Genomic DNA, 27,165 nt, shown 5'->3' on the forward strand with positions numbered 1-27,165 from the left:
TGAATCTCACAAGTAGAGAAGATATCACAGGTTATTAACCTCACCTCTTATCCTATCTTGATTTTCTCTTCATCTTGATATAAAATTTACCTTTTAAATAAATCCTCTTTTGTTATTGTTATAAGATTGAGCAAAGGGACAACTCAGGTCACTTTTCATGCACCCCCACTAAATATCTGGAACTTACATGTGGCAGGTCTGAGGGTAGTTTTTGTTGTGGTTCTTCCAGTCCTGTGTGTTTATCCCCATTTGTGGGAAATAGACACCTTTAGTTGCAAGGGCTTTTCGCTTTTGGAACTCTGAAGTATGTACTTTAAAACATGTGTTTAAAGATGATTACCAGAGAACAAATCTTATGCTAAAGGTGAACATAATAACATTTACCAATCTTTCAATTTCCCAAAGTTTTAAAGGAACAATGAAATAATGTATTATTATCATCTGTGATAAGCTGAATATTGTTTTAAAAATCTGTCAGGTTTTTTTTCTTACAGTATATGAGCCTCGGGCCTCATCAGATTTGGTTCCATTGAAATATATTTCTTAGAAGAAAAAATAGCCTATGTGTCTTACATAAGTCTGTAGTCAGCTATAATGGTTAATGTGCAATCTCCCTTGAAAGATCTGTCTTACAAGGAAAATGTTGACGCAGTTTTAATTATAGCACTCAGGTGAGCACTGTTATAATTTTTAATATTCCTCCATGGTAACATTTTCATTGTTCTGGTAAAGGAAAATGCTCTGATGCTGCGTCCCTAGTTTCTGGTGCTTTTCGATTTTATGGGAAAGTTGTCTTTTTGAACTGAAACTTTTCATTTGGTCTCAAGGAAGAGAATGTAACTATAAGATCTGTCACATTTATTTATTAGTATACACTTTTCTCTCTATGGCAGTTGCTATTCTGGTTTATGACACCATTATTTCACCTTACATGATTCACGTTAAAGAGGTGAGCTTCTGTGTAGTATTGCATGGCAAATCGCAACACCTGCTCACTTGCATTAGGGAAACATCACATTTTTAAAGAAACTGTATGTAATATTAAAAGGATAACATGCTAAAGTTTTATGTTTATTAGAATTCAAGGCATTATAAAATAATATCTAAAACAATGTACTTTAATATAGAATGATCACTGAACTCTTCCCTTTGAGAACACAAATTAGAAGATAAAGAGCATGCTCGATACTCTGTTTAGAAAGGAAAAGATTCGTCTATGCATCATCATCCATTCTATTAAAACACGCTTTCCTGGCTTCCTACTTCTTGTTGCCCAAGAGCTCATCAACATGCCCTGCTGTTTGATGGAGGTTCAGGAGTGAGTTTTTGACTTGCTCCTGTGCCCTTCCTTTGTCTTTTTCTGAATTTGCAGAAGTGTGGAATTTGTGCTGCCTTTTGTGCACTGAGGGGAGACTGGTGCCCTGGCTTACCTCAATGGGATGACAAGACTGGTAAGGATATGGACACTTGTGCCTCACAGCGTGGGATTCTGCAAAGAGAAGGGCTCCGTGTGCACCTTCAGCAGAGCTATCTGCAACCAGATTTTACATAGGAACATAATAATAGCTGCCCCTGGCCAAGGAGCAGAATAAAGGCTATGAGCAAAAAGACCAGTCATTGCTTACTCAGCTCTTCATGATGAGCTCTGTGATAAGAACATCCTTTCAGTGAAAGACAATATTTGTAGACCAAGACAAAAAAAAAATACTTGTTACTTTTAGACAATGACATAGGGCTTTATTCTTTGTTAGCATTGCTTTAAAAGATTTGATCACTCATCTGATGAGAGCCTGCTTTTTAAGGGCACTTGTATTTATATATATTTGCAAGATATAAAGACAGTTCTATGGAAGAGTGCAATAATGTTTATTCTTGAATTTGGGATGTCTTCATAATTAATGTATTTTCTGGAAATCGGAGAATAACATTTTCATTGTTTTGGCATTCCTTTGGGGTCATAGTGTATAATATATATGGATATATACAAGCAGTTGGAATTCAAAACATCCACTTCTTTAAAAGAATCAGGAATTTTAGATATCAAAACAGCAGCTTCTGTCTGAGTGTGTTTCACATGAACAATAAAGGAATTAGAATCACAATATGAGGACTTGATAATGTTAGGAATATAACTTTTTTCATATAATTGATATATTTCTGAAATACATATGATTAAATTGCATATTTTAATTGAACTAGGACAAAATTTGTAGCATTTAGAATTATACTATTATGTTTAGGATTATATATCATATATTCTACTCTGTAGAGTAGCAATCAGTAGGGATATGCTGAGAAAACTAAAGGGAAGGGATTATCTGTTCTGTATATTTTTGGGTCAAATTTAGTTAACAAGAAATAATCTAGAACTAAAATACATTTAAAAAATAGACCGGGTGCAGTGGCTAACACTTGTAATCCCAGCACTTTAGGAGGCCAAGGCAGATGGATCATTTGAGGTCGGTAGTTTGAGACCAGCCTGACCAACATGGTGAAACCCCGTTTCTACTAAAAATACAAAAAATAGCTGGGTGGTAATGGCGCACGCTTGTAATCCCAGCTACTTGGGAGGCTGAGACAGGAGAATCGCTTGAGCCTGGGAGGCAGAAGTCGTAGTGAGCTGAGATTGCGCCACTGCACTCCACTCCGGGTGACAGAGGAGACCCTGTCTCAAAAAAAAAAAAAATTAAATGTGAAATATGTATTCTCATAAAAAGGGAAGCAATAATTCAACACTCAAGACATGTCCTTTTCCCTCAGTATTTGTTCTTTAATTACAAACTCTTTACTTGGTATCATAAACCTATGGTCTTTATTTCTGAAGTAATCCATAAATGAGGCTCACTGAAAAATACTACCAACCTATTTTGAAGCAAAACATTCTTATTTTTAAAGCAGAATTTATTTTTCTAATTTATTGAATATAGAAGTTATTTTTTGGGCTGAGCGCGGTGGCTCACACCTGTAATCCCAGCACTTTGGGAGGCGAAGGCGGGCGGATCACGAGGTCAGGAGATCGAGACCATCTTGGCTAACACGGTGAAACCCTGTCTCTTACTAAAAATACAAAAAATTAGCTGGGCGTGGTGGCAGGTGCCTGTAGTCCCAGCTACTCGGGAGGCTGAGGCAGGAGAATGGCGTGAATCCAGGAGGCGGAGCTTGCAGTGAGCCGAGATCGCGCCACTGCAGTCCGGCCTGGGCGAAAGGCAAGACTCCATCTCAAAAAAAAAAAAGAAGTTATGTTTGGACTTAGTGCATTTGCCTGGATTTTCCCTTGAAATAATTATTGATGGAAAAATAATGGCAAGTAGATATAATTAAAAAATACATGGTATAAGTTAAAAACAGTTTCTAGTTCTAGCTTTTCTGCTAATTCATTGTATGACTTGGGTTAAGTCGGTTAACTTGTCTGGTTTTGATTTCCATTTGTAAAATTTAAAAGCTTGAGCCAAGTGGACTCAGCTTTCTTCTTGCTCAAATATTTTATAATTTATTTGAAGGTTTAAAACACTGCAATGCTTATTGCTTTGCCAAGAATCTCAAATAGAAGTGGCCAACACCAAACATGTGAGGGAAGAAAACAAGGGCTTATGAATCTAAGTTTAGGGCACTGTATGCTGCAGTGTGGAGCCTTGAGGGCTTATAAAGGCCTTATAAGAAAGCCATAAAGATGAGATAATAAAATAGAAAACTGAAGCCTGTGATAGATAAATAAATATGTGTGTATGTATGTGTGAATAAAGGATTTGATACTATTTGTTTGAGAGAATCTGAGAAATAGCCTAAAAACCGAATTTTCCATTTATGCCACAAATATGTATAGCAAACTGTGGGTCAGGTGCTGTTCTTAGCAAATATCTGAGGATCAATTGGTTTGAAGTTGGATTAAGCTGTAGCTAATGTTCCTTTTAGGAAGGAACAATTCTCCATTGTGGTCAGATGAATTGGGTCAGGCAGGGTGCTTGAGAGACCTCCTGTTGTACATGGAAATGACGGTCTGCTGTGTTGCAGGTGGTTTAGGAAATGTCTTACCTAATGGCCATGTTTCCTAAGCACTCTTTCGTAATGTCCTCCTAAACTGAATCTGTTGTTTCTTTTCCACTCTTGCTGGCTTGGCCACCAAAAATGCTGCATGCTCCATTTTCTTCCCCATTAAATCCTAGAGTTTATGGTGATAGGGATTTCAGTATGCCAGAATAAATAAGATAGAATAGGATTCAGCTTACCCTGAGTTGTGCTTTCTCAGTGTAATGCCATTATTTTAAAAGCCACCAGTTCCAAGAATAATTTTTTTCAAGCTTAAGCACCGAAATATACCACAAAGCTAACTGTTGTCTTTGGGTTTTATGATGCCCCAATGATAAATCAGCTTTCCTCTTACTGTAGTAGTCTTTAAGCTCCTTAAATGGGCTCCAGGATTCCCTCCACCAGCATGGCAGTGAATAATGTTAGATGAGGTTCACAGCACAGAGGTGATTTTGAAGTGGCCCATTGTTTTGAATTTTCTTTGCCATTTTTTAATTATTTATTTGAATAAACAAGAGTTATCTGTGATTTCAGTGGGGTTTCTCCTTTAGATTCTTATGAACGTAAAAACAGAGCACAGTAACACTTTTACATTTATGTGTTTATTATTGCAAAGGCAAAAATGCAGAGTGTTTCTATGGCTTACTTTATGTTATCAGAATCAGCCATCGATTTATAGACTGTATAGAACCAAGGTCTCAAAAAATGCTACCTCATCCGTAATATTAAGCTAATTAAGTATCTTATATCATAACTTAAGCATTACTTCAACTTCACTGGATTTATACCTGCTTAAATTTAAAAAACAGAGTGAATTTCCTCTGATAAGGCAGCAATTTACCATAGTGGATGGAACAGTTAATAAATACAGCTTCGTAGAGTAACTAAATTCATGACAGCCTGATAGGAGAATACTGTTATGAATGGAAATCTGTCCAAAGCCTTCCTATTCAAAGTGTGGTACATGGACCAGTGGCATATGCAACAAGGACTTTGTTGGAAGTGCAGACTCCTCATCCTCCAGTCCCCCACCTGCTGAATGAGAGCCTACATTTTGACCAGAAACCCCCGTGTAATTTGTGTACATGTTAAGTTTGTAGTTGGTGACAAGATGGTTAGTTGTAAATTAGATTCACCTTTGATCTGGAAAAAAATATAAACCCAACAAGTAGGGATGACTTGTATAGTCTGAAAATATTAATAAATGATAAAAGTTGAAAGTTATATGAAATCTATGAGAAGTTAGAAATGTTGGAAAGAAATAAGATAAAAATATCTCAGAAAATGCAAACTAATAGTTATGCACAAAATATTCTGTAATACATAGTATTTGGAGAAATTGAACACAGAAAGCATCATGACACATGTGATGTGGGATGATAGTAGACCACAAACCAGAAATTAATCAGTAATAGATCACAGTGGTCACCGTTCCATGGCTAATTTTATTCTTTAGAGTTTTTCTTAAAAGCATAGCTTAGTTGAGGCTTGTGTGCTTCTCACGCAGTTAGTAACACTGCTTGCTGGAAAGATAAAGATAAACCGGAGGGTGTTCAGAGATGGGCCAGAAGATTGATTATGGCATAGGAAGAGCTGATTTATGAGGAGAGAGAAAAATAATTAAATGGGCAGCACTATGCTATAAAAAGAGCCTATGGAGACATGGATATTTATCTAATGTCTCTAGTGCTGTTTCCGGTAGTATCTATGTGGATGCAGAACTGTAAGGATATAAGAATGCCAAGAAATTGGTTGCAGAGCAAAGCAATATCAGCTAGAATTACTTGACTAAATTAGGAACAATAGCAAATATTACGTTTCAGAAATTTTTCCCTGGTGCATAAGAAATGACCTTGAGCTGGATGACTTTATCCCTGAGAACTTTTAAAAACACTGTGGGCAAAGAGTGGAAAATTATTTATCAAGTTGCTGAACAATCTCCCCAGAAATAATTGGAACCCCGTGTCTTGAAAATTCCAAGATTAGGGTAGAGAAAATCTAGGGTGCAGCATGTGGGAACTGTCTCCACTTCTGGCAGAGACCTGGTGATTGATGAGTACCATTTTTCCATATCACTCATTTCTTTTGCAATATCTTTGATTATTGCAGATATTACCATACATAGATAATTTTTTGTCAGGTTGGTATCTTATTTAGTTAAAAATGCTACCTTCTATAAAAGCATCTAGAGTGTATCGCTTGTTTGACCTCTACCGTGTCTGCCTCCTTGGCACCTAGCGACATTTCCTTTTTCATTTCTCTCACTCTGTCACTCATTAAGAGATGCAATTCATGACGTAGCAGAAGTGAATTCACTTCCACGTTCACTTCATTCAGAAAACTAAAAAGACAAGCCCAAAATGCATCTTGCCTTTCTGGAGCCCTTTTTCAACTGGATGCAGAAACTCTGAATGTCTGAAATCATCTAGTGCCTTAGAGAGTTTAGTGATTCTTTTCACCGGGTTGAAAACCCAGTTTGTGTTTGCCAAGGAGCAGTGGTCTGAGAATACCACATTTCCTCTTCCCTCCCTCAGTACATTTCCCCTGATCCCCCAGTAAAATCTGTTATCTGAACAGGGAAGCCCAGAATCCTGATTCCATGGTTCAAAAAGGAAGTAAAGCACGATAAAATTGAAGCAGGATATTTTCCTTGACAGCTTTGCAGGCGGGAACCGGAGCACGGGCAATGGAGCTAGCTGGCTATTTCGGTGCCGGCAGGGGCAAACTCAAAACAGAAGCCTGCTGCTGTTGGTGTGGGGATGGTTGTGGCAATTCACATTGTTCTGAATTGCTTATCTGATTGCTGGGCCAAATGCTTATTCTACTTAGTAACATTTCTGAAGTTTGTAGCAAAACCTTAACATTATAAAAGAACAGATAAGGAGCCATTTCAAACCACAAAGGAAGAAAGGAAAGATACCACAGAAAAGTCTTGGGGGGGGGGGGTCTTAGCCAACCACCTGTTACATCTGGGACTGGGTCCAGTCCAGGGGCCTTCCAGCAACACTGAGGAGTGGCCTTGGCCAGATGCCTTCAGTTGCCCCAGGACTTTATTCTGGTCCCACATGGTGGCTAAGCCTCCATGAAGGGAAACAGAGCCAACATTCCTTTCACCTGCAGGAAAGAGAGAGATGGCAGTGTTGCATCCTGTCCCCTGCAAGAGGCATAGCTCAGAAGAAAGTCTGAGGACAAGAAGAGACAGATCTGCATTTTACTCACCCTTCTGATGTATCCTAGGCAGGCTCCCAGAGGAAGATCCTGGGCGGGCCTCCAGATTCCCTGACCCCTTCACGGGCGGGAACTGGAATGCGGGTGCTGGGGCTAGCCAGCCGCTTCAGTGCCAGCAGAGGTAAACTTCACTCACTCGAACCCGCTGCACCCAACCCCTCATGGGACGGAACATGCAGGTGAGTGAGTGCAGGACCTGGCAAGTGCTTTTGGGCACTGGCAGGAGCAAAACTCTGTGCAGGCCCCACCACAGCATCTAGTGGGGAGTGCCTGTAGCCCCCAAAGCTCCAGAAGGAGTGTTATGGTACACCTTCTTTTATCTTTGCCATCTGTGGATGGCTTAAATATTAACAGCTCAGTGGAGGGTCACCCTCTTGGCACCTGAGTTCTTGTCTGGCGTTCAGGAGGAATGAAGTCACACAAACAAGATGAAGACGGTAAATGTGGGGGATTTTATTGCCAATGAAAGTGACTCTTAGTAGAAAGGGGAGCTGGAAAGGGGATGGGGTGGGAAGGTAATCTTCCCCTGAAGTCTGGCCATCCCCTGTTGGACTCCTCTCTGAAGCTATGCTGTCAAGCTGTCCCTCTGAAGTCAAGCCACTTCTCTCCAACTATAGTCTCTGACATTTAGCTGCTGCTTCTCCTCTTGATGTTCAGTCACTTCTCCTCTCTGCTGGCTGTGTCAGGGGTTTTTATGGGTACAGGATGGGGGGGTGGGGTGGATCATGGGTGGTTTTGGAAAAGTCAACATTCCAGCATGAAACAGGAATGTATGTTCTCACTTTGGGCTGCGGTGCCAGGCTTGAGGGTGGGGCCCTCAGTGGGGACCCATCTTCTTCTGCCCAGAATTTCCTGCCTCCTGTCCCTATCAAAATTATTTAATATTCTATTTCTTTGCTTCATTCTTTCCTGCTAATTCCTTCAGACTCACATTCACATTGTCTGGGAGATCTACTTTAATGTAAGTGCTGCTAAGAATAATTCATATCAAATATGTTGACTGAGATGTTAGATATACTTCATTATGCTGGTGTGTGGGAAGGTTTGCCAAACTTAACTATTAAGTCACACTAATTAAATTACTTTAGGTGCTCCATAAATGAATTGTGGTTTTTTCATTGATGATTTTTTTTTTTTCCTGAGATGGAGTCTTGCTCTGTTGCCCAGGCTGGAGTGCAATGGTGGGATCTCAGCTCACTGTAAGCTCCACCTCCCGGGTTCAAGCAATTCTCCTGCCTCAGCCTCCCGAGTAGCTGGGACTACAGGCACGTGCCACCACGCCCAGCTAATTTTTGTAGTCTTAGTAAAGACAGGGTTTCACCATGTTGGCCAGGCTGGACTCAAACCCTTGACCTCTTGATCTGCCTGCCTAGGCCTCCCAAAGTGCTGGGATTACAGGCGTGAGCCACCATGCCTGGCCCTGATGAATTTTTTTAATTTTAAAAAAAAAAAGGAGAATTTCTTAAAACTAAAGCAGGTACATTATCATAAATAACAAAATGAAACAATATTCTTTATTATTTAATAATAAATATATAATTTTATTTATAAAATTATTATAACAAAATTAAACAATAATTTTTATTATGTATGACAATGTACCTGCTTTAGTTTTAAGAAATTCTCTTTGCTCATATCAAAATGTTATAACTCCTTTCCTTCTTAGAAGAGATCTGAAAGGAATAAAAAGGTTAGGATTACATTCTGCTATTATGTTCATAATACAAAGATGATCTCCTCTATATTCTGTTTTTGTGCAAACGACTCTAACAAATTTCCAGTATCTTACATGTGCAAATTACAACTGTCTTCAAGGTAAAAGTTAATTGAGAGAAAAAATTAATAGGTTAGAATCTTATTTTTTCTTTTCTTGCTTCCTGACTGTTATACCTACTAAAGGGATGTGGGGTGGGAGGGGGAGTCTTTTTTCTTTCTAAATCATTCTGCTAGTGTTATGTTGACTTTCTCTCAAGTACACCCTGTGGTCTCAGATGATCACATATTTTCTTACGTTACTCATATTGATACAGCACCTTGGCTTATGGGTTGACATATATTACCTGAGCTTTGATGACACCTCCCACCATTGACATTTCCTGGTGGTGGGGTGTACTGAGCCTCTTATGCATGAAACATAAGGGAACAGGCTGTTTCACAACAGCATTTTCATTCTTTGAAAATCAATTACTGTTCACCCCAAATGGTATCTGAAGCCCCCATCAGTGTTGCTTCACATTGTTTCTTACCCCTACAGCAATGTCTTGAGTGCTTTTGTGTCTTTGCTGAGACGGAAAAAAAGTTCCTCACATGGGCTTCAAAATATTCCAGTTATACTGTTTGTAAGAAAGTTTGTATTATTACCTGCCTGGAAGAATACAGGTAACCTACCTATATGCTGTTGCTTTCTCTTTCTTTCTTACCTTTGTGTCTCCTCTCATCTCACTTCCCTCTGTTTCAGCTAGCTGTGAGGTGGTTGGAACACAACTGCCACTACCAGTACATGGACGAGCTCCTGCAATACATCCGCTTTGGCCTAATGGATGTGGATACTCTCCATACAGTTGCCCTGTCCCACCCCCTTGTCCAAGCAAGTGAGACTGCAACAGCCCTTGTCAACGAGGCCCTGGAATACCACCAGAGCATCTATGCACAGCCTGTCTGGCAGACTCGCAGGACCAAACCACGATTCCAGTCAGACACTCTGTATATCATTGGTGGGAAAAAGCGCGAGGTCTGCAAGGTCAAGGAACTTCGGTACTTCAATCCTGTTGATCAGGAGAATGCTCTCATAGCTGCCATTGCCAACTGGAGTGAGCTGGCTCCCATGCCTGTGGGAAGGAGCCACCATTGTGTGGCAGTCATGGGGGACTTCCTGTTTGTGGCAGGAGGGGAAGTTGAGCATGCCAGTGGCCGGACGTGTGCTGTGAGGACTGCCTGTCGCTATGACCCCCGCAGTAATTCCTGGGCAGAGATAGCACCCATGAAAAACTGCCGGGAGCATTTTGTGCTGGGTGCCATGGAGGAATACCTCTATGCAGTTGGGGGCAGAAATGAACTGCGCCAGGTTCTGCCTACAGTTGAGCGATATTGCCCCAAGAAGAACAAATGGACTTTTGTTCAGTCCTTTGACAGATCCCTTTCATGCCATGCTGGATATGTGGCTGATGGTCTTCTTTGGATATCAGGTAGAACATACCTCATGTTGGATTTATCAAAACACACTTTCATTGTGGTATATATTTAAAAGTCAAGCTTTAATACTGTGGCCATGTGTAATTGAAAGATTGAACCAAGCATGCCATTTTAGCTAATTAACATTCATTTATTGAGCACCTACTCTAGAGAGCAATGTAATTGGAAATAATATGCCTTTCTGTGACTTTCTGAGTGACTAATGGAATAAAAATTCAAGGTGGAAATTGTTGGTCCATCACAACTGTTTTTTTCCTACCAGAACTTCTCCTGTCAGCTCTTGATTATTCATGGATTGTATTGCACAGCTTGTGGTTTATCTAGGTCCTTTGCTTTTTCTTTCACCCCTGGCTACCTGACTAGAGCCATTTCATCAAAGACAAGGCAAGAGAAGTATAAGCCCAGTTAATCCATTTTTCTGGGTATATCAATAGGTATATATCCAAGTAATCACTATGCTGTGCATTGAGAGAAGGGATTTAAGTTACCAAAACAAAGTTGTTGTTGTTGCTGTTTCAGATAGGGTCTCACTCTTGTTACCCAGGCTGGAGTGCAGTGGTGCCATCTCGACTCACTGCAACCTCCACCTCTCAGGCTCAAGTGATCCTCCCACCTCAGCTTCCCAAATAGCTGGGACTACAGGAGCACACCACCACACCCAGCTAATTTTTGTAATTTTTGTCAAGGCAGGGTTTCACTACATTGCCCAGGCTGCCCTTGAACTCCTGAGCTCAAGCAATCCACCAGTCTTGGCCTCCCAAAGTGTTGGGATTGCAGGCGTGAGCCACTGTGCCCAGCCTAAAACAAAGTTTGTTTGTTTTTAATTATCCGTGAATGGTAGTTACTTGTGCCATTCTAACCCTTCATTCCTATTTACTCTCCTATTTTTACTGATGGTACAGTTTGAGCTCTAGTTTACCTTTTCATCTCTTTTGAAAACCTTTTGATTATGGAAAAAGTAGGGAGACTAGAATAATGAACCCCATGTACCCACAACCCAAAATCCACAATTAACTACTCCTTGCCAATCTTGTTTTCTCTACACCCACAGACCCATCACACCCCTCTGGGCTGCCTTTTTGCTTATACAGAAGGAGTCTGTGAGGCATATGCTATCAACATCACATTATAAACATGTGTTTTCAATCTTAGTTTTGAGAAAGGCCCTAAGTGTTCTCCTTTGAAAGGTTTTTCTATCAGGAAGAAAGCTGCATTTTCTCCCAGTTGGAAGATACTCATATTGTAATCCAAATGGAACTTGTTGGATTTCTGTGTCATCAAGCACTAAGAGGAATAGAAAGGGTAAAAAACTTAAATATTAAGAATAACCCTGATGTTTGTACTTAGAAGAAATCATTACTTTTAAGTACACCTGCAAAGGCTTCTCAGCTTTCCTCAATAATCGTCTCTAGTGTTCTAACACCTGCTCTGACAAAATTCTCCCTTGCACTTCTTTAAATTCATTTGGACTTTGACTGTTCTTCTGCTGTCCTCAATAACCAGGAAGATAGTCACAGGCTCAGCTTCTCTGAGCGGTGCCTCAGTTATTGGCAATTCACTGAGTTTTATTGACAGAACCTAGCTCACATCAGGGTTTAAGTGCTCAATAAATTAATGAATGAAGGGAAGACTAGGACTAAGGAAGCAGACAGATGAAGTGGACCCAACATTTACTGGCTCTATACCAAAGAAACATTAGAAACAAGTATGTATGTTAGTATATGTAGATATATTTAAATTAAAACCTCATTTATCTAATTACTGTTCCTTTTTCTTTAAATGTATATTTCAACAGTTAATAACCACCAAGACTATATTCTTTTAGCTGTGCTGGAGAAATTTCAAGCTAGGCAGCAAATAAGTCTTTGCTAACAGAAGGAACAGATCTGTACTTGTCTTGGATGGCAAAACAACGATGGGTTTATGAAATCAATGCCATTTATGTTTTCTCCCAATTGACATTCCTTCCATTGACTCATTTAGTTTCATATATTATTAATATACTGTATTCCTAAATTTTGCACTGCATTTTCTAAGTTTTGTATGAATTTCTCATAAATATTTTAATAAATATTCCTTGTGTTTTGGCTGTAAACCTAGCTTGTAAAAGAATGCTGGGGTTTCCCTTACATAGTCTTAAAGATATGACGATTTAATACCTTCTTCAGTGAGGCCTTAAGAAAGCACAGAAGCTCCTCTTAGACTCGCTAGATCCGTCGTCCTGGTATCAAGCTGACTTCCCTTTCAATATGTGTCTATATGTTTCCTTTTCCATTTTATTAAATCTATCAACCTATTACAGATCCTTATTGCTATCTCACTTTGTTTTTCTCCTACTGTGAAAGGAAATACATTTTCTTTGTTCTTCTTTTGCACTAATATATGCTGCCTCTGTTAACCAAACTTAATGAAAACAATCACAATTTTCTCAGGTTTGTTTCTCCTTACTGTGTACTTGAGATGAAAAACTCACTTTGCTGTGTACAGTACAATATCTTTAATTGGAAAGAAGAGGAAATCGCCAGTGACATTTCTAATACCTTCAGTCATCTGCCTCTTTCCTCAGGCCCAGCTTATAATAAATCAATTGTGAATCTAAACATGAATAGGGAGGGGTGACTAGATTTGCTAATGGGCCCCTTAACAAAAATACAGGTATAGTTCACCCTGCCTATCACTGAGTTGGGAGTGTAACCTGATTTACTGGAGCAGATGAAAATGTTTGAGGCTATTCCTTATCCTTTACCAAGTAATCATGTATTTCCAATTTAATTGATGGGAATTGAATCATTGGCATCCTTCTGGTATTTTGCAAACTTTGCCTGAGGTGGGGGTAGTATGGATTATAGAAGGTGGATTTTAGGGTCTTGGTTCTGTTCTCTAGAACACAGAATGAATGTTTCTTTAGAGACTTGACATTTCCAGCGTGCTCACTCCCTCTCCACACCTCTCCCCCATTTTGGTCCATTTTGGGGTCAGGAAATCTTGAAACCTGTTTATAGTTTTTAAAAGTATGACAAGCCGAAAGGAATCCAGAAAATCCTGCTGCGTGTACATATCCATTAGCATTTAATTAAAGATGTTAGAGTCGAATTGTACAGGCTCCTGTAGCGTTTGACATTGTGACCCAATTCACAAGTGTTCCATACCATTTTGATTTGAAAATTGCAGTATCAAGGTAAAATAAGCTCTTAAATATCCTACAGCTGTGTTTTTAAAATATATGCTCTCTGTTGGAAGGTATAGTTTGTGAACTACTAAAAAGAACCTTTTTTTGTGTGTGAGGGAAAATTAATCCTGAGCTCATCATGAAGAACAGCTTATTTTTTTCATTTTCATCAAATGATAGCAAAATAAGAGGCTAACTGCAAAGTTAGTGCTTTAAAACTATAAAAATAAGACAAATGTTATTGCATTTACTCAAAAGCAATATTTAGTGCTTTCTTGATTCTCTTGGTGAATGCCACATCCTTGTAAAGTATAGTGCTGAGTCACAGATACATGAAATTAATTTAGCAAACATACTTCCTGCCCTCTAGGAGCTGGCAATCAAATAATTTTTCAGATATTTCATTAAGGAAAGGACATTTGTTAAGGCTTAACTCCCTAGAAGCTATGTGTATTTTCATCTTGATTAAATTTATATGAAGTTTGCATTGCCCCATTTTAAATAACTTCAATTTATTCAAAGCTACTAACAGGACTTGGGTTTTTCTAGTATTAATTAAAATAATGTAAAATTTTATTAACATTTAAAAATATAATTGCCTTATCTTTTTGCAGATATTGTTTTACTTACATCTTGAGAATTGTAGACAAAGGCCGGGTGCAGTGGCTCACGCCAGTAATCCCAGCACTTTGGGAGGCCGAGGCGGGCGGATCGCCTGAGATTAGGAGTTCGAGACCAGCCTGGCCAGCATGGTGAAACCCCATCTCTACTAAAAATACAAAAATTAGCTGGGCGTGGTGGCGGGCGCCTGTAATCGCAGCTACTTGGGAGGCTGAGACAGGAGAATTGCTTGAACCCGGGAGGTGGAGGTTGCAGTGAGGCGAGGTCACACCACTGCACTCCAGCCTGGGCAAGAAAAGCGAAACTGCATCTCAAAAAAAAAAAAAAAGAATTGTAGACAAAATATTGGGAACTAACAGCAGGCATAGCAGAGGCTGAGTTGTGGTGCACTGAGACCACAGACCGTGGTCACACACACACAAAACTTGTGCTGCATTTCTTATCCATGATGAGATGCTGAGCTCAAGTTCCTAACCTCTCCAAGTCCTGTTCCGGGATAGTGCTGGAGCATTAAAGTAGCATATAGTAGAGGGAACAGACTTTTAAACAGGTAATTAGAGGGTGACAGCAGAAGTCTTTCCAAGGTACAAAAGTAGTGCAAAGCAGGGAGTGACTATTGCAGAAGGCAGGAAAGGTAGCACCTAAAATAATTGAGGAATTATTTTAACCCTGGAGGTGCCTAACTTAGCTGCGGGTCCATTGGCTACTTTCTATTATCCATTAACTCCTCCCTGTCCTCACACTTGAACTTCATGGTCCAATCACTTCAATAATTATCTTGTCCTCTGGGAAACATGCAGTGTTTGACAAACCCAGTAATCTGCTTGTTCTGTCCCTGTACCTAGGTGGCTCTACCTGTGGGAGGAGGACAATTAGCAGGAGGGCTTGGTATGGGTATATTCTCAGCACATCACGCACAGTGGCACTCTCAGCCCTCTCTATCCCCTACTGCTACTCTCTCACCCCTTTCCTTCACTGGCTGGAACTTCTTCACTTTCCTCAAAACCCCCTCTTCTCAGACTCAGAGAGAAGATCTTTCCTTTGGTTTCTCAGAGCAAATCTAAGTGAGATAATAGGAGGAGGAGGCAGAGAGTGTGACAAGAGAGATGGATAAGAGTTTGTCTGGAAAGGGGCTAAGGGCAGAAGTTTGGGAAACACTACAGGGATATCAAGGTCCAAAATATTTCCACTGCATTTTTTAATTGGGAAAATTGTAGTGAAAGCAGTTTCAGGAAATTGGAAGAAGGCGGAAACTAGAATACAGTAGTTTAAGGTATGATTGAAAAGTGAGGAAATAGAAACCCCAGGTGCAGACTACCTTGGCAAAAAGTTAGGATAAAGCCTTTCTTAGTCTAATACTAATGAACAAGCATATTTTCTAAACTTCATTCCCCGAATCTGAGCTTATCAGACAACTTTCCAATTAACAGTCTGGCTTCCTGTATACATTTAGGGAGAGAATGTGTTGTTTTTAGTTGTTCACATATTTTAGTTCATGTAACAGCCTCATTTTTTCATTATAAATTAATAAATAGCATTTTGGCTTTAGTAAGAATAAAGGAGATTAAGAAGGAAAGAAAGGAAGAAAGAGGGGAGTTGGTTGAGAAAAGGAAGCAAGAGGGGAGTTTGGCTGAGTAGCTAGAAGACGAAATCCAGAGGTGAAGGAGGGATTTTGTTTGTTTAAGGATGCAAGTGCACCGAGCATATATATTAATAAGGAAAGAGAGTGAAATTGAAGGTGTAGGGAGGAGGGGCATCCATTTGGCTGGTAAACGCTGAGAGCATTTCCCAGGTACCAGGAACAGTGAAGAGTCCTGAGGATACAATATTGAAAACAGACAGTGTACTGAAAGGCAAGGAACTGGGCAGGGGTTAGGTCTTGAACATGAGAAGGGAGGGACCCTTAAGCCTGGAGGGAAGGAGATAATTATGGGTGTGAACCTAGGTAAGCTCACAGGTGAGGGGCAGGAACCTGAGGAGGTTTCTTGTAGATTGATTCAAATGAGAAACAGGTCTGTCGAGATTGTGCCTGTCAGGACTAAGTAGAGGGCCTGAGGAGAGTGACCTTGGAATAAGCCTCTGAGAGAAAACAGAGGGAATTAACAGGTTAAAGAAAAATAGGTGTTCAGAATCCACACTAACCTTGGAAACCACAAAACTGTAGTGGCTCTGTTTTCAAATTTCTGTCGTTTTATGGTGCTCAGCAGAGGACTGAAGAAGGCAGATCTGTGGATTCACTCATGATGAAAGGTTATGAGACTGGAATAGTCCAGAGAATCCTCCTGGAAGGAGTTCAGCAAGCTAGGATCTCAGTTAGGTGAGAGGCAAGAGCTGAAGATTTGCTTGAGGGAGAAAAGTGTGTGTTGCGGGAGTAAGTAGTAAGAGAATGCCCCCTTGTTGTCCCTGGAGGCGGCCATGATGTGAGGAAGCCACTTGCCTGGTAGAGGTTAGGAGGTGGATAACTTGGCACATCCACTTAAAAGTTCCTAGTGAATTAGAATGTCCATGAAGAATTAAATCTTTGTTGCTTTAGATCCTAGCAACCAGCTGCCCCCAGCAGTTACTTTTTCTTTTTTTCACTTGTGCCCCAATCTTTCCTACCTCCCATCTGAAAGAGATGAAAACAAAGCTACTCTAGTATTGAACTGAGGTGGAAAACAAACAGAAATGTAGTATTCTACAATGCTTGTTAGAGAGCTAAATGATTTAAAGGAAAGAAAGCAATCAGATCACCTACATTCTCCAAATAATTAACAAAGCTTTCATCCTAAACTGTCTTAACTGTATCCCGAATAAGTTGCACTTTGTTGATTTACCCTCACATCACTGCCCAGGAAATGAGGCTTGAAGAGGTTAAATGACTCCACAGATCACACAGCTTATAGCTGACAGAGTTAGAATTTGAACTCTGTGTCTCTGGTTCTTTAGACCATGCTTTTCCCACCAAACCACACAGGTTACCAGTTGTTTATCATGACAGTGAAGGTCTGCAAAATAGATGCTTAAATTGTAAAAAAGAACTTCCAAATGGCATAAAACTGAAAGTAAATGATACACAGAAGCAGAGTGCTATCTGGGGATTTGTTTAGAATCAACAATCATTGATTGTCCTTAATTGCTTAACTGTCCATTCTTCTCAGGGGTGAGAAGAGACACATAATGTCTTTCTGCGATTTTACGGTTCAGTTTCTAAAATTTAAAATGTAAAGAGAAAGGTGATAAAATGGAACTACTCTAAAATACATTGGTGTAGATTAGAAATTTTTTTCTGAAAGAATTACATACTACAGGAGTCTAATGGCCTTTAAAATTGGTGTTGTAAAGTTTTGTTTTGTTTTGTTTTTTTTAATGTCCAAATCGTTGGCTACAAAACTCTTCTCACGGAGAGAACCCCCTTTGTTTAGATGATTGTTTTGTGTCTAACTAGATGGGTCTAGTAAAAGACGGTAAACTAAATGGTGAGCTGTATTGTTCTACTAAAGAATATGTGAACAATATCATTTGCTTTATTCCCAAGAGGAGAGAAGATGGTTAAAGCTACGCCATAGAAATAGGGAATGGCTGAAGAACTTAGCTGATGGTGGAAGGGAGATAAAAGATCCAAGAGCACAGCAAAGCTGGGACATGAAAGACAGACAGAGGTGGCCTTGAGAGTTTGACCCTGCTGGGAATGTGCAAAAATATTTGGAGGCAGGATTTCAACTTTCTACAGAATGAGGAATGGGAGTTAGAGTGAATATTATTGAGATTATAAAGGGCAGGTGAATCTAATTGATATCTGCATTATGGTTGATTTCACCCCCATTTTATCATTTCATTTATTTAAAACAATACATAATGCATACTTTACATATTTCTGGGTCACAAGTTTGCACCTATTTGCTCTAAATGACATAATTTCTATTTTCAAATGCAGCAACCCTGCCTTTATAGGTATTTTGTAAATTAGAGACTTTGCAGGTTTTGAGTATATTAAGTACCCATCATCTGTGTGGGTTCCTCAAGTATGACAGAAATAATATGGATACTAGTTTTAATTTAATGCATGGATTATGTATGCTTCTATTCAAGATGCTAATTTAGTAGAAAGATTCTTAGCTGTAATTGTTTAGTATTATAAACATCCAGAAAATATGGACAGTCTAATGTCATATAAAAATAGGTAAGTTTGGTTTTGCATTTATTATAAATGTTCCTATGGTATTACTTTTTTTAAGGGCTAACAATGAGTGTAGCCCTCTAAATAGTGACTAATAGGAACTTGCACTTAATGGCAGGTTGTTCTTTAGGTAATTAAATTGTAAGCGTGAAGTTATAGTCTTTCAAGAACTGGAGAAAGTTTATGGAAATGGTAAGAAATTTTTATAAACAGCTACAGGATTGTAGCAAACTTCCCTCTGTGGATTGTCTCTATGCTTTGCACTCTAGTTCATCTGAAACCTATGAGGAATGTATCATCATCACTGTTTTGCATATGAGGAAGCTGAGCATGGCTGTGTTAAATGGCTTCCCCAAGGATATAGTCATGTAGGACCCATGTTAATGCCACAGCCTGTCCTGAAACTCTTCCCTTAGACTAGTGTGAACCTGGCCACTGCAGGTCTCCAAGACAGTTGCAGAGAACTTGAGATGGTTTTCCTCAATCCTGAATTTGCTGGCAGAATTCCAACCTGGAGCATGCTCCTCCACCCTGCGTGTGGGGATCAGTTCTTTGCATCCCACTCTGTCCTGGTAGTGCGTTAGCACTGCATTACGACCCATAGACATCTACTCCTGGAGTTTACTCTATTTACCAACAGAGGTATTTTTTGTCGTTAAAAAAAAAATTAGCAGAGCCATCAGACTTGACCCAGTCTGACCATGTACAATGAGAGCAGTTTTTCTACACACTCTATTTTATGAGCACTGCCGGCATTGACCAGTTGTTGCTTTTGAGTAGAATATGAGTTTGAGAGTCAGTGATCTCAGTAGCAGAGACAAAGGTTGCTTGTTTGGCAGTCACTTGTCATCTCTCCAGTATGCACTCATCCATTTGTCACAACATTTTGTGGCGAGTTGTACAGGGAAGCTTAAGAAAAATGCTTTTCTCCTGTCTTGATGATAGAAAGCATTTCTCACTGTTGGTAGCATGGTGGTAACTTTTCATTCCTTCTGGCAGTTTTTAAAGACTTATTTGACTTTGGGGGACCTTGCAGTATATCTTTAAGTCACAGTTCAAAAGTATAAGACAGGGTTGCTCATTTTCAATTTTGGCTGAAAAGTCTTTACTTTCACTGTGGCACTTCAAAGTTAGAGAAAACTTGGTTTTAAAAATGGATGCTGATATGAGATGGCATATTTAATGACAGATGTATCTATAGAAAGCTGTTAAGATGCAGATTATCCTCCCTGGGGTGGGGGAGGGAGATCAAAACTGCCAATCTATAAAATATACTCGATAGAGGAAGGCATGGAATCTATCTTTGCAAGTGCTTTGATTGCAGGGGACAGTATAGCAGCATGTGGCATCGTAACCCAGAGCAGACAAATCAGCTTGATGACTTTCAAAGCCAGGAATACTGCTGCAGGCAAGGGTACTCCAGTCTAGGAGAAATTAAAACATATAGAGACTGTTATTAATTCCATATCTATTTTTGTATAGTCAAATCTGTATGCAAATCCTTAGCATCTCATTTCAGCAGATTAATCTAAAAGCGAAGAGTGTTATGTGAAGGGAATGTAATGATAAAGCCCTGCAAATGAGTAACACTGCTAAAGAAATGTGGGCTGCAAACTGGGATGCTTTTTTAAAATGTATCTTAGTATTGAGAGAAAAATGATTTTTATTTATATGCTCATTTGTAAATTATTTCAAAGGGGAAGGCAAGAGAACCAGTTTCCAAGGTTTTTCTTTGCAATCCTGACTTGGCAAAAGTTGCAGCACTAGGTTTGTTAGGCACCTCCTGTGGTTTAACATTCTAGAGGGAATCTATTAATATCAAATAACTGGGACTTTAATTTTTACTCCCAACTAGTAACTTAATATCTCATTTCTAAACATTGTCATTTGAGTGAAAATTTGTATGTAAGGGTAAAGAATCTAATTACTGAGTGCAGATTAAGAAGAAAATGTATTATAGATGCATTTGTGGAAGACAGTAAATAATAATTCTGAAAAGCATAGAGATAAATTGTATGCCCTGCTTGGGAGAGGGGATGTAATAGCTACATTCTAATCCATTGGTTGTATGTTTAATCTATAATGGGCAGAGTCTGATACATACAGTAGTGTAAGTATTTTCAAATAGTGTCATAAAACAGATAGTTTACTACAGTAGATATTAATTATGTCCCATATTTCTAAAACAAGTAGAGAAACTTTTGAAGTCTTTAAATGATGGGTGGAGCTTTGCCCTCGGTTCCATTTCAGTTAGAGAAGTGATTGTAGGCAAGCTGGACGTTAATCTGGTGGTTATGGCTCAGATCAAAAGCACTAGCAATTATTTTAACCCTGAAGACTTGTGAAGTCTCAAGAGATTAAATTATTCTTGTGTGGTTATGCTGAGAAAGAATTATTGAACATTCTGTTTTTAATCACACAAGAAAGGGAAGGTTGGGAGTAAAAGCAAACACAACCCTATATTTATTTTGACACACATCTTGACTATATAGGCATTTCAGCCTCAGCTTTCTTAAGTGTGTTTTCCTTTCCTCTGATTTCATTTTTAAAATGAGATATTCAATGAGAAATCCAGAGAAGACTTTCTTTGAGGGCAGGAGGCTCATGTCTGTGTTCTTTGTGGATTTCTCTGCAGACAAAGCTTTTGTTGTTCTTTAAAATCTTAAATCTTCAAGCTTCTGAGATAATTTTAAAAATAGTCCTCTAGTTAATAATAGCCAAAGCCAATTATATGAAAGATATAATCTCCCTCCTGGGGTTGAGTGAGAGAGTAATGATTGGCCTGGATAGGTTCCTTCCCCTTTATGTATCCATTAGTTTTGATTGATTATTCCAGCTCAGTTAAGGATTAGACACTAATCCTCTGGATTCTTGTTGACTTGACTCCTAGCCATGTAGTTGATGGTGGTGACCTATTCAAAGTATTTGAACTGTCAAAGCAAAAACTGCACCAGATAAGGTTAAACAGAGAAAGAAGACTTTATTCAAGACTATAGCAATAGGAGAGAGAGATCAGAATACAGTCTGAAATCAATTCTATTAAGCAAAGTTTTTAAGAGGATGGTTTTTAAGCACTGGGGTGATTTAGTAGAAAAGTACTGAAGAACATTTCAGAGGAGCTTGATTAATGGATGTGTTGTACCCATGCAGTTATTTCTGAGTTGACAATTTTGGTCTCTGTGATTAGGCCATCTGTGTTTGGTGCAAATTGGTGTCTATCACAGTTAGGGTCCTTGGGAGACTGAGGTTGCAGTGAGCCGAGGTTGCACCATTGCACTCCAGCCTGGGCAACAAAAGCGAGACTCTGTCTCAAAAAAGAAAAAGTTACCGTCCTACATTCCCATAGAGGCTGGGATATAGAGCACTATCTTCCTTGATGATTACATTTCAAAGGGATGGCTCTCTGGACTTTAAGGAAGATATTATTGGGTTATAAAACTGGCAAGCAGCTTTTAAAATGATTTACATCTCAAAGAGGGAGAGAAAGAAGTTATGATTACAAGTTTTCTAAAGTAAGTAATCTAAGAAAAGGGAGGTCAAGGGGCCTAGAGTCAGGAAGCAACCTATTTAGTTTAGTTAAGCTGGGGGAATGTTAAGGCCCTCTTGGTCAGCATTTTAACAGTGTTTGTTTTTTAAATTCAAAAAATTCTAGTAGGAAACTTTTTTTAGTCGGGCTTAATTTTATATCTTTATTGAAAAATTAGCTGCTTCTTTGTGATACTGATTAAAATAAGAATATTATTCATTTTACACCAGTGTCTAGAACTACATGTAAGGCAATATTTCTAAAGATAGATTTCTTTGGTCCCATATCCTTGATATTTTATTATCTAACATTTAATATCTATTGGTGATATTTTCTTACTATGCTGTTTTATGTTTTTTTTTTTTAGAGTTTTTCCACTTAATGGTAAAACTTAAAGCAAAATGAATAATTTCTGGGTTTTACAGGGCTCAGTATACACTACAAGTATGAAAAGAAGTATGAGGACAAATAAGAGAAACTTAGCTGGAAGTGTGATGATTTTTTAGTGGTTCTTGATTAGGTGGGTCTCAGGTCTCTTAGATCTAAGCAGTTGTCAAGAGGGCTTCAAAAGAGTACACCACAATAGCAATTGCACTGAAGAGCCCTAGATTTGTGCTGCTCAGTATGGTAGCCATTAGCCCCATGTGACTTATTGAATCCTTGAAGCATGGCTAATCTGTACTGAGATGCGTTGTGTCAAATATACACTGGCTTTTGAAGACTTAGTATGAAAAAAAGAATATGAAATATATAAAATATCTTAATAATTTTTATGTTGATTTCATGTTGAAATGATAATTGTGGCTATACTGGGGTATATAAAATTTATTAAATTTAATTTCACTGTTTCTTTTTACTTTTTATGTGGCTACTGGAAAATTTATCATTGCATATGTGGCTTGCATATGTGGCTCTTGTTATATTCTATTGGACAGCACTGGCTTTAGATATTTTTTGATAAGTAATATCAAGAGATATCAAGATATCACTGTGTTAGAGTACGGATGTTAGAGCTTTAAAATTGACAATTTAGTGAAGGACAAGAATTTTCCATATAACTATGTCCCTGGCATAAACTGTGTAGAGATTTGTCTATGTGTACTATGTTCACTCTCACTCCCTAATACTTTGCCCCTCATTCTGGCCATGCAGAACAGCTTGTCAGAATTGGGGTCCTCTTGGTAATGTCAGCATACTTGTTGCTTGCTCTTAACTGGATTGCTTCTGAAATGTTTCTTGAAAATGAAACTGCTTCAACAATAAGCTTCTTAATTATGTCATGGGCTCACCATGAGGGTATACAAACAGATCCTCAGCAGTAGCTAATTCTCCTTTAATTGTATCTCATTCTTATGTTGGAATATCCTATTTTTTATTCATGAAAAGCTCTAACACATGTTAATCCATTACAGGTGGAGTAACTAATACGGCACAATATCAGAACAGGCTAATGGTGTATGAACCTAACCAGGTAAGAATCATGTAAGAACACCTCATTATCTTAATTAATGAATTTTAAAAGATTCCAGAGTAATTAGTAATTGGAATGCCAAGTGTACACACACAGATATGCATCTTTAGCTTATATAGAGAAAAGGAAGCATCTGAATAAACTGCTTTTTGGTTCCTTTTTTTGTTTTGTTACTCAAAACATTTCAGCTCCTCTAGTTTTGTGCTATACAGAATACATCACCCTTTCAGAGTTCTGCATAATATAGAAATGATTTGAATTGTCCTGTTGTAACGTCCTTCTGGAAGGGGCTGCCATTCTAGGAGGGGATCATGCTTATGGTTTATTCTAAAAAACAAGTATTAACTTAATATAGCCCAAATGACCTAAAACAGTATCTAGGACAAGTCTAAAGTAGAAGTATATGAAGAATCTGAGAGATGAGAAGTATCTGAAGGGTTTTCATCTAACAGCTGGGGGTTGAATATGCATATGGATGGTGCCTGTACCTTCTTTTGTCTACATTTCATGTACACCCAATTACTATTTTCCCCCAAAAGAAATATTTTTATTCTCTTTTCCATATACTAAAATATGGATGAACCTTGGCAATTGCCTGCTGAATTTTGCCATTTCTATGATTTTGGTAATGTAAATATTTTTGATTATGACGGTATTCCAAAATGATTTGTAGGCTTAATATTCATCAGCTGAATGTAATGGGATATGACACAACAGGTTGGCTTTGGCAGTCTGGGTTGGGACTGGCCACCAAATCTATGTCCCTAGTGGACTCAGTGTATTTGGTATCTTTTTATTTTAGCAATTACTTGATTCTGTATTTAATGAAGGCATTTCTCTCTTTGCAAAGTGTGTTTCCTGATGTCATTAGAAGCTGTAGATTTCAGAGACCAAATGTCCATGGGTCAGCTGTCTCAAGAGGGATCGTTAATTGCAGTTGCTTGAGTTTGGTGCACATGTGGTTAAAGAGGAAGAAGGTGTTAACATTTCTCAAATGAGTTCTGTTTCATGTTTGTACACACATGCTCTTTTAAAAAATTCTGCTGGCATATTGTTTACGGTGGGTACTGGCAAACATCACATCTGCTTGCATCTTGCTCAGAATCTCAATAACTCTATCATTCAGCCCTGGTGCTTATTTCTCTTCTAGGCCTTTGTGGAGAGTCGATAATGCCTGCCATCTGCCACAGAGCACATTGCTACCTGCCAACAGGCAGGCTGGGGTGACCTCTGCTTCCCCACCACTGATTAGTATTCACATGCTAGCTTATTAGGAATGACCCCACCAGGCCTCTCTGTTTCTTTGCCTTTGCAGCGGTTGGTGGCTCACCTGGCAGGCACTGCAGTGAAGGAAGCTAAAGATATAATCAGGGGATGCAGGCAGGCTTTGCAAACCAGATGGCGTCCATAGTCTGGTGGCAGGGGACTGGACTGCTAATGCAAACATTGATTCCTAATACTGTAATGGGTTGTTTCATAGAAAACACCTAAGAAAAGCGTCCTCAGAGTTTTGAGTTAAATACATTCATGTGTAATGTATTATAGATATTAGCAAAATAGCTGAAAGGCAGGCTTGACTATTTTATTAAAGAAGACATTTGATTGGAAGGAAATTCTTATTATATGTTCAAATGGGGGAACAGATAAATGCAAGCTTTTCAAGCTGTACAAATCACTTCTTTTCTTGAGTGTATCTTTAAAAGAGCTAGTCTATATGCCTATTAGTGAGTGGACCAATTTTTATACAAAATGTTTATTGTTGTTGTGTCTTGCTTCTTCCCTTACAGTTTTGTGAAATGGTGAAATTCTATGTATTCAAAACATCGTATGACTTTTTTTCTGGCCGAAATCCAAATTTTTCTTGGCAAAAAGGAATCTGGGTTCTTCCTGTATGCTTAGTGTTTATGTAGAAAGAAAACTGTTAGGGTTATTTACCTGTCCATTACTTTCTTTACTTATCTGTCCATTACTTAGTTGAGATTTAAAATTAAAGTCATATTTGGTCTTCATTTAATTTTACAATGAGAGCCTTATTTTAAGAAAGGTTGGGCATACTCTTCCCATTACTGAGGGTGAACAGGAACCAAATATTGAAGGTTTCACTATTCCCTAAAGTTATCATATAAAAAAGTCTTCCAGCAGGGTGCGGTGGTTCACACCTATAATCCCAGCACTTTGGGAGGCCGAGGTGGGTGGATCACCTGAGGTCAGGAGTTTGTGACCAGCCTGGCCAACATGGTGAAACCCCGTCTTCACTAAAAATACAAAAATCAGCCAGGTTTGGTGGCACTTGCCTGTAATCCCAGCTACTCGGGAGGATGAGGCAGAAGAATCGACTTGAACCTGGGAGGCGGAGGTTGCAGTGAGCCGAGATCATGTCACTGCACTCCAGCCTGGGCAACAGAGCAAGACTCTGTCTCAAATACAAAACAAAACAAAACAAAACAAAACTTAGTCTTCCACCAAAACAAATAAATGTGTGCCTAGAAATAACCTTTCCCAATTTGGCAAAAGATGTGACTGTTAATATATTAAAGGAGGCTGATAAAAGGAAATGTGGGTGGTTTGTTGCTGAACCAAATCTTAGCTCTTCCACTGATCTCAGGAGGTTAATTTTGGAAAGAACAGCAAAACCATTACCCTAGCTTATCTAGCGGCCTGAGGTACCCAATGATTATCATCACATCATTTTGAAAAAATGAATATGTATTGAACATTTTTCATGTGCATTTTTCTAAGTGCTTTATGTGTATTAGCTCATTTAATCTTCACAATAGGCTTATCAGGTAGGCATTATTATCCCCATTTTACAGATGAGAAAACTGGCACAGAGATATTAAGTAAATTGCTCAAGATCACATACAAGTTATAAACCCAGGTAGTCTGGATCCAGAAACTATTTTCTTAATCATTGCACCACTGTATATAGTATACCTAGCCATGTGCTTTCACTCTTAATGAATTTGCATGAGTAAATTCTCTGAATTGGGTGAGATAAACATCATGAAAATTTCAATGTTCCCCTGATGTAATTCAAAATGCACTATAAAATGCAACACAAACTAGAGGAGATGCCGTGTGTAAATCGCAAAAACAATTGGAATATGTGGCTCTTTTGTACTTGTTCTCATGTAAGAAGCCCATACCTTTCAATATATATAAACAACATTCAAACAGAATGTTGATCTATTGATTGATAAACATTAGGGTTCTCACTACTTATGAGGCACTCGTTGCTGTTTTCTGACATGGAGGTCTCCTACTAACAGAATACACTTAAATTTCTTTTTTCAGAATAAGTGGATAAGCCGTAGCCCCATGCTGCAGAGAAGGGTCTACCATTCCATGGCTGCTGTACAAAGGAAGCTTTATGTTCTTGGAGGCAATGACCTAGACTACAATAATGACCGGATCCTTGTGCGCCATATAGATTCTTACAACATAGACACTGACCAGTGGACACGTTGTAATTTCAACCTGCTGACTGGCAAGTACCTTTGATTAAGTAAATCAGGAAAAGTAGATTCAAGAAGTCACCAAACTTGTTTCATAGACATCTTTAGGGCATCACTAAATATTAAGTGCATAGTTGTAGAAGAACCTGCATTTATTAACCAGAAAGGTGTGTATCATTTATGTTCTAACAGAACTGGACTCATTTAGGTAGCTGAGCATCTAGTTTCTCAGGGCCTATATTACTACCATTATGCACATCCTCATATGGCTGAGAGGCATGTCAAGTCCATTATCATCCATCAGTGTTAAGATGGAAC

General features: G+C 38.8%; 1 protein-coding gene across 26 annotated transcripts in view; it reads left to right on the forward strand.

Annotated features, from left to right (window-relative positions):
* Positions 1-27,165, forward strand: part of KLHL32 (kelch like family member 32) — a 242,671-nt gene that overhangs the window by 205,988 nt on the left and 9,518 nt on the right. For 9 of the 26 annotated variants that reach the window (NM_001323252.2, NM_052904.4, NM_001323257.2 and 6 more), the window contains 3 exons: positions 9,713-10,439; positions 23,334-23,392; positions 26,687-26,879. In NM_001323252.2, the coding sequence (NP_001310181.1) occupies positions 9,713-10,439; positions 23,334-23,392; positions 26,687-26,879 (979 nt within the window). Of the gene's footprint in view, positions 1-1,372; positions 1,452-9,712; positions 10,674-23,333; positions 23,393-26,686; positions 26,880-27,165 lie in introns of those variants that run through there. The other 17 variants (NR_136580.2, NR_104421.2, NR_136579.2 and 14 more) reach the window with 8 other exon arrangements.

The sequence above is a fragment of the Homo sapiens genome, chromosome 6, assembly GCF_000001405.40.
Source record: "Homo sapiens chromosome 6, GRCh38.p14 Primary Assembly".
Taxonomy (NCBI): domain Eukaryota; kingdom Metazoa; phylum Chordata; class Mammalia; order Primates; family Hominidae; genus Homo; species Homo sapiens.